Source organism: Homo sapiens, chromosome 22, assembly GCF_000001405.40.
Source record: "Homo sapiens chromosome 22, GRCh38.p14 Primary Assembly".
NCBI classification, from domain to species: domain Eukaryota; kingdom Metazoa; phylum Chordata; class Mammalia; order Primates; family Hominidae; genus Homo; species Homo sapiens.
In genome coordinates this window covers 28,757,937-28,771,723 of record NC_000022.11, presented here as the reverse complement: position 1 = coordinate 28,771,723, position 13,787 = coordinate 28,757,937, and the positions used below count along the sequence as shown (strand labels likewise).

General features: G+C 46.4%; 1 annotated feature.

Annotated features, from left to right (window-relative positions):
- Positions 11,129 to 11,423: a silencer, noted in NCBI's record as "tiled region #506; K562 Repressive non-DNase unmatched - State 23:Low". NCBI's record gives its function as "represses a minimal TATA promoter and a strong SV40 promoter by Sharpr-MPRA in K562 cells {active_cell/tissue: K562}" and the evidence as "EXISTENCE:reporter gene assay evidence [ECO:0000049][PMID:27701403]".

Here is a 13,787-nt window from a genome sequence, read left to right as displayed (position 1 = left end):
TAACAATTAGCCCACCGTGGTAGTGCATGTCTGTAGTCCTAGCTACTGGGGAGGCTGAGGTGAGAGGATTGCTTGAGCCCATGAGTTTGAGGTTACAGTGGGCTATAATTACACCACTGCACTCCAGTCTGAGTGACAGAGCAAGACCGTGTCTCAAAAAAAAAAAAAAAAAAAAGTAAACTCAGGACTTAAACAAAAACAAAAGCCTCAGAGCACTTGTGACAGGTACTGGCAAGCCTTCCAGCCTCTTTGGGGCATTCAGAGGCAGTATCTCCTGCCTGGGCTTGGCAGATGGTCAACCCCCAATCACTGACTATGCCCTGTTTTTTCCATCTCACAACAGCACCACCATCCAATCGAAACTGCTTATGCCAATGTCAATGCCCTTCAGCCAAAGCACACACATGTACATAATTGAACAAAGAAAGGTTTATCTACTCATTCCAGTGAGGAAATTTCTCCCTTAGGAGGTGTTACAAAGGCTTTTTATAGGATTTGGGGTTGTGTTAGACGTTTTGAGGGAAGGTTTTAAAAAACAGCTTTTGGCTGGGCTCCGTGGCTCACGCCTGTAATCCCAGCACTTTGGGAGGCCGAGGCAGGTGGATCACGAGGTCAGGAGAGCGAGATCATCCTGGCTAACACGGTGAAACCCCGTCTCTACTAAAAATACAAAAAATTAGCCGGGCGTGGTGGTGGGCGCCTGTAGTCCCAGCTACTCGGGATGCTGAGGCAGGAGAATGGCGTGAACCCGGGAGGCGGAGCTTGCAGTGAGCCGAGATCATATCACTGCACTCCAGCCTGGGCAACAGAGTGAGACTCTGTCTCACAAAATAAATAAATAAATAAACAAATAAATAAATAAATACAAAAAATTAGCCGGGGGTGGTGGCGGGTGCCTGTAGTCCCAGCTACTTGGGAGGCTGAGGCAGGAGAATGGCGTGAACCCGGCAGGCGGAGCTTGCAGTGAGCGGAGATCACGCCACCGCACTCCAGCAAGGGAGACACAGCGAGACTCCCTCTCCAAAAAAAAAAAAAAAGAACTTTTCGGCCAGGTGCAGTGGCTCACACCTGTAATCCCAGCACTTTGGGAGGCCGAGGCAGTGGGATCACAAGGTCAGGAGTTCAAGACCAGCCTTGTCAATATGGTGAAACCCTGTCTCTACTAAAAATACAAAAATTAGCCAGGCATGGTGGTGGGCGCCTGTAGTCCCGGCTACTCAGAAGGCTGAGGCAGGAGAATAGCTTGAGTCGGGGAGCCCAGGAGGCAGAGGTTGTAGTGAGCTGAGATTCGAGATCGTGCCATTGCACTCCAGCCTGGGCGAAAGGGCAAGAGAAAGAAAAGGAAAGGAAAAAGAAAAGAAAGAAAACAGCTTTGCTCTGGAATTAATTCTGTCTGGAAGTGGGGATAAATTTGTGATTGGGTGTCCTTTTTGTTTTGAGACAGTGTGTCACTCTGTTGCCCAGACTGGAGTGCAGTGGTGCTATCTTGGCTCACTGCAGCCTCTCCCTCCCAGGTTCAAGCAATTCTCGTGCCTCAGCCTCCTGAGTAGCTGGGATTACAGGTGTGTGCCACCTTGCCTGGCTAATTTTTGTATTTTTAGTAGAGATGGGGTTTCACCATGTTGGCCAGGCTGGCCTCAAACTCCTGACTTCAAGTGATCTGCCCGCTGTGATTGGGTATCTTAACCAATCTTTTCTATAAGGTGTGAGGAATGAAGGAAAGCTCAACCTCTAACTGGTAAAGTAGCAACAGTCCTTCATATCAGTTAGGGTAGGGTGGTATTTAGCAATTTTTGTGGTTTGGACAATGTTTATGCTTTTGCCTGTATTTGGACAGGATTAAGTGAACTTGTTTTTGTCGTGATCCATGAGGTCAGAATAGCCTTGTTTGATAACGCTCTGTGAAATTTTTATGTTTAACAGGAGGACAATGAAGTCTAACAGTATTGTGTCTGGAATTTATTCTTTCCGGTTGGTTCTTGGTCTTCCCAACTTCAAGAACGAAGCCATGGACCTTCGCGGTGAGTGTTACAGCTCTTAAAGATGGTGCGTCTGCAGTTTGTTACTTCAGATGTTCAAATGTGTCCGGAGTTTCTTCCTTCCGGTGGGTGCGTGGTCTTGCTGACTTCAGGAGAGAACCTGCAGACCTTCACAGTGAGTGTTACAGCTCTTAAAGGTGGCCTGTCAGGAGTTGTTTGTTCTGCCAGGTGCGTTTGTGATCTTGCTGACTTCAGGAATGAAGCAGCAGATCCTCGCGGTGGGTGTTATGGCTCATAAAGGCAGTGCAAACCCAGAGTGGGCAGCAGCAAGATTTACTGTGAACAGTGAAAGAACAAACCTACAGTGTGAAAAGGAACACGAACAGGTTGGCGCTGCTGTCTCAAGTGGCCAGCTTTTATTCCCTTATTTGGTCTTGCCCACATCCTGCTGATTGGTCCATTTTACAGAGTGCTGATTGGTCCATTTTACTGAGCGCTGATTGGTCCATTTTACAGAGTGCTAATTGGTGCGTTTTTACAGAGTGCTGATTGGTGCATTTACAATCCTTTAGCTAGACACAGAGCACCGATTGGTGCATTTACAATCCTTTGACTAGACACAAAAGTTCTCCAAGTCCTCACTGGACTCAGAAGCTCAGCTGGCTTCACCTCCCAGTATCAAGGAAGTTTCCTCTGTCAGAAGATACTTTTCTCTTTCTGACCAAAAACCAAGGCATCACCATGAATGCCTCTCTTTTGTTCACACCCATATCTAGTCAGTTAGCAAGTTCTATGGACTTTACTTGCAAAATGCTTCCAGATTCTCCCCATTCCTCTCTAACTCTATTGCCATTGTGATGATGCAAGAGAAAACTAACGAACCCCCTTTGCCAAGATAATGGATTGGGTTTCAGTTTTCTTAATGCCATTTACAATTCAATTTTGCATTCTTAAAGTAAAATCCTGCTTAACTGGATATAAAAGATACTCTCCTGGGCAATTTCTACAAATGGCCACCTCATTCCTTACCTTAAAAAATATCCTTTTTTCCAGCCTTGGCTACCAAATAGTCTTGTTGACTCTGGGGTTTAGGGGAAAAAAAAAAAAAAAAATATTTTTCCAGGCTGGGTGTGGTGGCTCACATCTGAAATCCCAGCACTTTGGGAGGCTGATGTGGCTTGAAGCCAGAAGTTCAAGACAAGTCTGGGCAATATAGCAAGACCCAGTCTCCAAAAAAAATAAAACCTAAAAAATTAGCCAGGCATGATGGTGCATGCCTGTTGTCCTAGCTACTACTGAGGCTGAGACAGGGGGATTGCTTGAGCCCAGTAGTTCAAGGTTGCAGGACACCATGATCATGCCACTGTACTTCAGCCTGGGTGAGAGGGCAAAGCTCTGTCTCAAAAAAACAAAAACGATACTTCCAGATGATCCTATGTATAAATATAAATACATATATATATATATATATATATATATATATATTTTTTTTTTTTTTTTTTTTTTTTTTTTTTTTTTGAGACGGAGTCTCGCTCTGTCACCCAGGCTGGATTGCAGTGGCGTGATATCGGCTCACTGCAGGCTCTGCCTCCCGGGTTCACGCCATTCTCCTGCCTCAGCCTCCCGAGTAGCTGGGACTACAGGCGCCCGCCACCACACCTAGCTAATTTTTTGTATTTTTTTTTAGTAGAGATGGGGTTTCACCATGTTAGCCAGGATGGTCTTGATCTCCTGACCTTATGATCCGCCCACCTCGGCCTCCCAAAGTGCTGGGGTTACAGGCGTGAGCCACCGCGCCCGGCCATAAATATATATTTATAAAAAGAGAGTCATGGCCGGGCGTGGTGGCTCATGCCTGTAATCCTAGCACTTTGGGAAGTCAAGGTGGATGGATCACCTGAGGTCAGGAGTTTGCGACCAGCCTGGCCAACATGGTGAAACCCTGTGTCTACTAAAAATACAAAAATCAGCCAGGTGTGGTGGTGGGCAACTATAATCCCAGCTCCTCGGGAGGCTGAGCAGGACACTCGCTGGAACCCGGGAGGCAGAGGTTGCAGTGAGCCGAGATCGTGTCACTGCACTCCAGCCTGAGCAAGAAGAGCGAGATTCCGTCTCAAAAAATAATAAAAATAAAAAATAAATAAAAATAAGAGAGTCATACTCCATATTATTCTAAAATTTGCTTTTCTACCTAATTATATTTCTTGAATATCTATCTAAATTCATTCTTTCATTCTTTTTTTAATCACATGGCAGAAAGAGAAGGAGAGAGGGAAGGAAGGAGAGAGGAGGGAGAGAGAATGAGAGTGAAAGCCAGAGAGCCAGAGAGAGAGAGAAGAGAGGAAGCATGGGGTGTGGTGTAGAGACACCTTTGGCAGGCCCTGCCCTGAGCTCCTGGGAGGGGAGGCACACACAACCATTCTTTTCATTCTTTAATTCAAAATTTTTTTTTTTTTTGAGATGGAGTCTCACTCTGTCACCTAGGCTGGAGTGCAGTCGCTCGATCTCTGCTCACTGCAACCTCCGCCTCTGGGGTTCAAGCGATTCTCCTGCCTCAGCCTCCTGAGTAGCTGGGACTACAGGTGCCTGCCACCACGCCTTTCTAATTTTTATATTTTTAGTAGAGACGGGGTTTCACCATGTTGGCCAGGCTGGTCTCGAACTCCTGACTTCAGGTGATCTGACCGCCTTGGCCTCCTAAAGTGCTGGGATTACAGGCGTCCGCCACTGCACCCGGCCATAATTCATAATTCTATACTAAGTTATACCCCTTATCAGTCAATGTACTATAATTAATAATTTATTAGGTGCTTTCTATTTTCAAGTGCTCTTTACTCAGATTAAGTATTCCTCACAACTCTGTGAATTGGATGATTTTCCTACCCCCATTTTACAGATAAGAAAATTGAGGCAAGTTATGGTCCCCAATTCCCTCAGCTATATGTGAACTAGCCAGTGCCAAACCCCAGATCTGAGACCCTAGATCCTGCCCTAAACTTGTAGGGTCTGCTCATCTCATTGAATTCTGTGGAAGAAAGGGCTATGGGGAATCAATTTGAAAGACTCACTACAGTGTGTCTGAGACCTTGGAGCTTAAGACCCCAGAAGCATAAGTCAGAGGATTGTAGTTAGTTGTCCCCTCCATTACCCTGGGGAGAGCAGCTACAGAATTTGACAGTGGCCTCTAAGAGCCCCTCCTCTTATTTTTTTTTTCTTTTTTCATTTTCTGAGACAAAGTCTCACTGTGTCACCCACGCTGGACTGCAGTGGTGCTCACTGCAACCTCCGCCTCCCAGGCTGAAGCAATTCTCCTGCCTCAGCCTACCGAGTAGCTGGGACTGCAGGTGCACACCACCATGCCTGGCTAATTTTTGTTTTTGTTTTTGTTTGAGACAGAGTTTTGCTCTTGTAGCCCAGGCTGGAGTGCAATGGCACAATCTCAGCTCACTGCAACCTCCGCTTCCCAGGTTCAAGTGATTCTTCTGCCTCAGCCTCCTGAGTAGCTGGGATTACAGACATGTGCCACCACAGCTGGCTAATTTTTTGTCTTTTTAGTAGAGATGGGGTTTCACCATATTGCCCAGGCTGGTCTCAAACTTCTGACCTCAAGTGATCCATCTGCCTCAGCCTCTTTAAGTGCTGGGATTACAGGCGTAAGCCACCGTACCCGGTCAAATTTTTGTATGTTTAATAGAGACAGGGTTTTGCCATATTGGCCAGGCTGGTCTTGAACTCCTGACCTCAAGTGATCCACCTGCCTTGGCCTTCCAAAGTGGTGGGATTACAGGTATGAGCCACTGCGCCTGGACCCATCTTTTTCTTAGTGATTGTCCAACCGTGCCTCTTTGATGTTACTTCCAGCGCACATCTCATAGGGTTGGTGGGTCAGAGACATACAGACACTCAGACAATCCTTTCATGACTCCTTTTTCCTTGGTGGTTAATCTCCACTGTTCCCCCCTACCTTTTTTTAAAACAATGTTTTCTGGTTATAAAATGAACACAGCTTCTTAGAAAGTTAGTGGTGGGGCTGATAAAAGTGTAGAAAAGCAAATAAAAATCACTTAATACCATCCAGCAGGAAACTCCATTATGACTATCCAGGGAGGTTGGGGCTGCAGTGAGCTGTGACTGCACTACTGCACTCCAGCTTGAGTGACAGAGCAAGAGCTTGTCTCAAAAAAAAAAAAAAAAAAAAAAGCCAGGGCCGGTGGGGAGGCGAGTGAGTAATTTGCCTACATAATAGTTATTAACTGGTAGAACTTAAGAAACAACCTTAGCGGCCAGGCACGGTGGCTCATGCCTGTAATCCCAGCACTTTGGGAGGCTGAGGTGGGCAGATCACTTTAGGTCAGGAGTATAAGACCAGCCTGGCCAACATAGTGAAGCCCTGTCTGTACCAAAAAAATACAAAAATTAGTTGGGCGTGGTGGCGCACGCCTGTAGTCCCAGCTTCTTAGGAGACTGAGGCAGGAGAACCACTTGAACCCAGGAGACAGAAGTTGCTGTGAGCTGAGTTCGTGCCACTCTACTGCAGCCTGGGTGACAGAGCAAGACTCCATCTGAAAAAAAGAAACAATCTTAGCAAGCAAGTCAGGTAAATAATAGCAGAGTACTAAGCTTTATCCCCTCTGAAAGAAACACATGATACCAAACTGTTCATGGCAATGATCCATGAGGGGTGGGGTTGTCAGAAGTTATCACCTCAAGTGATCTGCCCTCCTCGGCCTCCAAAAGGGCTGGGATTACAGGTGTGAGCCACCGTGCCCGGCCAACCCCTTGGTATTGAGTCTATCTATGCTTCCTTACAGACAACATTTTCACGTGTTGTCACAACTTGTTGCTAGGGGAATTATGGGCGTCTGACGTGACTCCACTGGAAGAAGACCCTTGGAAGCTTGCATCTGATTTGTATCAGACTGTGCCAGGAGACTTTTCCTTGTGTTGATTTCATTTTGTACCCTTTTGCTATAATAAGTTATAGCCATGAGGCTGGGCATGGTGGCTCATGCCTGTAATCCCAGCACTTTGGGAGGCCGAGGTGGGCGGATCACGAGGTCAGGAGATTGAGACCATCCTGGCTAACACGGTGAAACCCCGTCTCTACTAAAAATACAAAAAATTAGCGGGCGTGGTGGCGGGCGCCTGTAGCCCCAGCTACTCAGGAGGCTGAGGCAGGAGAATGGCGTGAACCCAGGAGGCAGAGCTTGCAGTGAGCTGAGATCGTGCCACTGCACTCCAGCCTGGGCGACAGAGCGAGACTGCGTCTCAAAAAAAAAAAAAAAAAGTTATAGCCATGAGTAGAACCATATACTGAGTCCTGTGAGATCTCCTGGCAAATCCTCATAACTCGGGGTGGTTTGGGGGACACCTGACATAGTTTCTCTCTGCTTGTCTGGATTCTGTTCCTCCTCTTCCTTTCTTCTTTAGTTACCACACCTGGAAATGATCCCTCCCTAGACCCAGTGAGGCTGTATGCACGGGCTTTGGACATAGGGACTCCTAACAAATCTTACCTCTCCATGGCATGGCACAGGCCCTGGTAAATGGCACTTCTCGTTATGAATTGCTTAACCCCATTGGCTGGTACTTAATCTTGGTGAGTTCAGCCCTGTAAGAGCACAGGCTTTGCAGATAGATGGGTTTAAATACTCTTACTTTTGTTTTTCTAATTTTCTTTTTTACATTAAAAAAAATATTGAGACGTGGCCGGGCACAGTGGCTAACACCCGTAATCCCAGCACTTTGGGAGGCTGAGGCAGGCGGATGGCTTGAGACCGGGAGTTCGAGACCAGCCTGTGCAACATGGAGAAACCCCATCTCTACTAAAAATACAAAAATTAGCTAGGCGTGGTGGTGGGTACCTATAATCCCAGCTACTTGGGAGACTGAGGCAGGAGAATCACTTGAACCTGGGATGCTTCAATACGCTTAGACCACACCATTGCACTACAGCCTGGGCAACAGAGCGAGACTATCTAAAAAAAAAAAAAAAAAGAACTTGAGATGGGGTCTTGCTATGTTGCCCAGGCTTGTCTCTAACTCCTGGCCTGAAGTGATCCACCTACCACGGCCTCCCAAAGTGCTGGTATTACAGGCATGAGCCACCTCGCTTGGCTAACTCTTACCTTCTTGAAGTGTGTTTCTTCATCTGTAAAGTGAGTCAAATTGGGCTTATTTTGATGGAATCAGGCAAAATACTACAGATGTTCCCTGGCATACGGTAACTGTGAAGCAAATGGGAACTTTTTTTTTTCCAGGCAGGGTCTTGCTCTGTTGCCCAGGCTGGAGTACAGTGGCATGTTCATAGCACACTGCAGCCTCAAACTCCTGGGCTCAAGCAATCTTCCCACTTCAGTAGCTGGGACCATAGGCTGCCAACAGACCCGGCTAATTTTTAACACTTTTTGTAGAGATGGGGTCTCACTATGTTGCCCAGGCTGGTCTTGAACTCCTGGGCTAAAGTGATCCTCCCACTTGGCCTCCCAAAGTGCTGGGATTACAGGTGTGAGCCACCATACTCAGTCCAGAACCTTTTTTTTTAAAATGGAGTCTCACTCTGTTGCCAGGTTGGAGTTCAGTGGTGTGATCTCAGCTCACTGCAACCTCCACCTCCCAGGTTCAAGTGATTCTCCTGCCTCAGCCTCCCAAGTAGCTGGGATTACAGGCGCACGCCACCACGCCTGGCTAATTTTTGTATTTTTAGCAGAGACGAAGTTTCACCATGTTGGCCAAGCTGGTCTCAAACTCCTGACCTCAAGTGATCCACCCGCTTCTGCCTCCCAAAGTTCTGGGATTACAGGCGTAAGCCACCACACCTGGCCCAGCCCAGAAGTTTTATTATTGTTTTGTTTTTGGTGAAAAGTGATTTCCCCAATGTACAGGAAGCATCTGACTGTTCTCTCTCAGGGCTAAGTGGTCTCTTACATAAAGTAGGTGCTTGGAATTTTGTTGAAAGAATGTATTTATGGTGCAATGAAAGGCATGATTTTGTTTCCCAATAAAAATAATAAAAGTAGTAATTATAATTGAAAGTAAAAGAAAGTATTATCTCTGAGTTCCATGTGCCATGCACCATGCTAAGCAATTTGCATAGATAATTTATTTCACTTGATCTTCACAATGACACTGTGAGATAGGTACTATTATTACCCTTTTAAAGATAAGGAGGCCATGTCCAGGCACAGTGGCTCATGCCTGTAATCCCAACACTTTGAGAGGCCACCAAGGCGGGCAGATCACTAGAGCTCATGAGTTTGAGACCAGCCTGGGCAACATGGCAAAACCCTGTCTCTACAAAACGTACAAAAATTAGCCAAGCGTGGTGGTGCATGCCTGTAGTCCCAGATACTTGGAAGGCTGAGGAAGAAGGATGGCTTGAGCCTGGGAAGTGGAGGTTGCAGTGAGCCGAGATCATGCCACTGTGCTCCAGATTGGGCAACAGAGCCAGACGTTGTCTTAAATAAGTAAATAAGATGAGGACGCTGGGCATGGTGGCTCACCCCTGTATTCCCAGCACTTTGGGAGGCCAAGGTGGGTAGATAGCTTTAGCCCAGGAGTTCGAGACCAGCCTGGGCAATGTAGAGAGACCCCATTTCTACAAAAAATTAAAAAATTAGCCAGGCATGGTGGTGCCCACCTGTGGTTCCAACTACTTGGGAGGTTGAGGTGGGAGGATTGGTTGAGCCTGGGAGGTTAAGGCTGCAGTGAGCTGAGATGGCACCACTGCATTCCAGCATGGATGACAGAGCCACACCCTTTCTCAAAAACAAACAAAGAAAATACAGATGACGGTGTTACCGGGGGTCCTTGCTCCCAGAGCTCCCAAGATGGTGGTGGGCCACTTCCAAGATGGTGGCCGGCCACTTCCAAGATGGTGGCAAGCCTCGTGTTTTCTGACCTGGGGTTCTTGGCCTCAGGGATTCCAAGGAATGGAATCTTGGGCCATGCGGTGAGTGTTATAGCTCTATTAGAAGTTGTGGGTCATGGAAGAGAACCGTGGAACCCAGTGACTAGTGTTCAGCTCGATTAGGACGAACCCAGGCACTTAGCTGTGCAGGAACAATGAAAAGCCTTTAGCCCGATCGGGAGCGGCAATGGGCGCCCTGCTGTATCAGGAGCACAGAGGACACCCTGCTGGATCCAGAGGGATGGAAGTCAGCGACGGAGGCAAAACAGCAGTGGTGGATGGAAAGCTCAGCTCGAGTTGCAACAAACATGGACCAGAAGAGTGCAGTTGCAAGATCCAATAGAGTGAAATAAAGTGAAAACAGAGTTCCCATATAAGGGGAGGGGACCCAAAGGGGGTTGCCGTTGCCGGCTCGAATGCCTGGGTTTATATCCGGATCCTTGTCCCTCCTGCTGTGCTCTCAGGCAATAGATGATTGGCTATTTCTTTACCCCTGTTTTTGCCTAATTAGCATTTTAGTGAGCTCTCTGATTGGTCGGGTGTGAGCTAAGTTGCAAGCCCCGTGTTTAAAGGTGGATGTGGTCACCTTCCCAGCTAGGTTTAGGGATTCTTTGTCAGCCTAGGAAATCCAGCTAGTCCTGTCTCTCAACAGCAGCCAGGCGCGGTGGCTCATGCCTGTAATTCCAGCATTTTGGAAGGCTGAGGTGGGCGGATCACGAGGTCAGGAGATCGAGACCAGCCCAGCCAACATGGTGAAACCCCGTCTCTACTAAAAATACAAAAAAAAAAAAAAAAAAAATCAGTCGGTTGTAGTGGCGGGCGCCTGTAATCCCAGCTACTTAGTAGGCTTAGGCAGGAGAATAGCTTGAACCCGGGAGGTGGAGGTTGCAGTGAACCAAGATGGCGCTACTGCACTCCAGCCTGGGCGACAGAGCGAGACTCCATCTTGAAAAAAAAAATACAGATGGAAAATAAGTAGGGGAGCTGGGACTTAAACCCAGGTATTAGGTAGCTTAAATAACAGCAATTTATTTTCTCACAGTTTTGGAGGCTGCAGTCCAAGCTCAAGGTGCCAGCATGGTCAATTTCAGTTTCTCTTCCTGTCTTGTAGAATCTTAATTACTTCCTTAGAGGCGCCAGAACTGCAACGTATGAATTTTGGGGGACAAAATCATTCAGTTCACAACACGAGCACTGTCTGACACCAAACTCAGGACGACATAGTCACAAATTAGTTGAAACCTCTGATTTGTTCTGACACTATATTGGGAACTGTGTGTGTGTGCCTGTGTGTGTGTGTTGGGGGTGGCGGACAGGGGGTGCTTCACTTGCTTCAATTGTTGGTCTGAAACTTTAAACCAAATTTGGCTGCCAATTTTTCAGCCGTCTATTAGCATACCTCCCACAGGGCTTTGTTAGGGAACACTTGAAAGGGTTCCTGGATTTAGAATTGCAGTTAAACTTCAGATGAGAAGGGAAAGAATTTGGAAGAGAGGGGAGAAAAAAGTAAACCCACTCACCTCAGAAGCCATGACTCAGAAATAATGTCTTTTTAATTTATTCCCCAAGTCAGACATGGTTTGTTGGGAGGCCCTGCAGCCTTTCCAGCTGATGGTAACAGGTAAGGGAAAGTTTCTTTGAAGTTCCTCCAAAGATGTGGCAATGTTGATCTGATTTGTTTTTGTGGTCAGATTGTTTTGGTCCTGATGATTGTTCTGAAGAAGGAATGAAGATTGTCTACACAAGTATTTCAAACCCTCCTTTCATTTCCTCCTTTGTTTTGCAGAAGCACCCAATTAAATGAGGACATATGCTTGCACTGTAATTATTTACTTAAAGGACTCCTGGTGTGTTTTCAGACAAGTAATTCATTCTCCTAGTATATTGTGAGGGGGTGGAATTGTACTGATGTTCCCAAGTATCATTAAGCCCGACAGCTGCTGTGGTTACTTTGCCTTCTAAAGATCAGTGAATTATAAAATGTTAACTGAGTATAACTGGTTCGGTATTCACAAGATACACATTTTTCAACAAGGATAAGAAACTGGGATAGTGGCTCATGCCTGTAATCCCAGCAGTTTGGGAGGCTGAGGCGGGTGGAACACCTGAGGTCAGGAGTTCGAGACCAGTCTGGCCAACATGGTGAAACCCCGACTCTACTAAAAATACTAAAAAATGTCCAGGCATGGTGGCAGGTGCCTGTAATCCCAGCTACTTGGGAGGCTGAGGCAGGAGAATCACTTGAACCCCGGAGGTGGAGGTTGCAGTGAGCTGAGATCGTGTTATTACACTCCAGCCTGGGTGAAAATAGCAAGATTCTGTCTCAAAAAAAAAAAAAAAAAAAAAAAGAAACTGCAAAGGAGCTACAGTTTCAAGTTCTTGGAGTAGTATTTAAACTTTGGTTCAGACTCCCTGTCTTTTTTCCAATTATAAACAGGCAATTATCTCCAGAGTTAAAATGTTGTTTCTTGGAATTTTTTTATTTTTATTTTTATTTTTATTTTTGAGACAGTCTTGCTCTGTCGCCTAGGCTGGAGTGCAGTGGTACGATCTCAGCTGACTGCAACCTCCACCTCCTGGGTTCAATCAATTCTCCTGCCTCAGCCTCCCAAGTAGCTGGGATTACAGGCATGCACCACCACACCTGGCTAATTTTTTTTATTTTTATTTTTAATAGAGACGGGGTTTTTCCATGCTGGTCAGGCTGGTCTTGAACTCCCGACCTCAGGTGATCCGCCTGCCTCGGTCTTCCAAAGTGCTGGGATTACAGGCATGAGCCACCGCGCCCGGCCTTGTTGGAATTTTTAATCAGAATTTTCTGTTTGCTATTCAAATTTTCCCTGATCCAGAGACTTTTTAAGTGTTTTTTTGTTTGTTTGTTTTTCTGGAAAGGGATCAAGAACTTAAACTGAATTTCCAAAGATACAGAAGGGGAAGTAGAGATGCACTGGGCTGAATTAGAAGAGCATGGAAATAGTGACAAGTGCATCAACTGTCCAGAGAGTAACACAACTGCTCCACTCCACTAAGATGGAGCAGAAAATGTGGTTAGTGCTTAATACCAGATTAATTCTTTTTTTTTTTTTTTTTTAAGATGGAGTTTTTTGCTCTTGTTGCCCAGGCTGGAGTGCAGTGGCGCAATCTCGGCTCCCTGCAACCTCCGCCTCCCGGGTTCAAGCGATTCTCCTGCCTCAGCCTCCTGAGTAGCTGGGATTACAGGTGCGCACCACCATGCCCAGCTAATTTTTTGTATTTTCAGTAGGGACAGGGTTTCATCATGTTAGCCAGGCTGGTCTCGAACTCCTGACCTCAGGTAATCTATCCGCCTCAGCCTCCCAAAGTACAGGGATTACAGGCATGAGCCACCATGCCCGGCCTAATACCAGATTAATTCTTTATAATATTATCTACAATTTGAAATTTAGACCAAAGAGACCCTTAGGCAGCCTTGCTTGTTAGCAAACTGAATACCCCAAGGCCACAGTACCAAAGGGGACTACCTATCTTAGGGAGGAGGATCATGCCATTAGAAAGTTGTGGCTCTTGGGCAGAGGTTGGCAGAGCCATGGCCAAATCTGGCTCATCATCTGTTTTGTAAAGTTTGACTGGCACACAGCCCTGTCCATTTGTTTTCATATTGTCTATGCTGATTTTGTGTCACAATGGCAGAACAGCAGTTACAACAGAGACCACATAGTCCAGCAGTCCCCAGCCTTTTTGGCACCAGGAAGTGGTTTCATGGAAGACTGTTTTTCCATGGATGGGGACGGTGCTGGAGGATGGTTTTGGGATGAAACTATTCCACTTCAGATCATCAGGCATTAGATTCTCACAAGGAGCATGCAACTTAGAACCCTCACATGTGCAGTTCACAATAGGGTTCATGTTCCTTTGAGAAT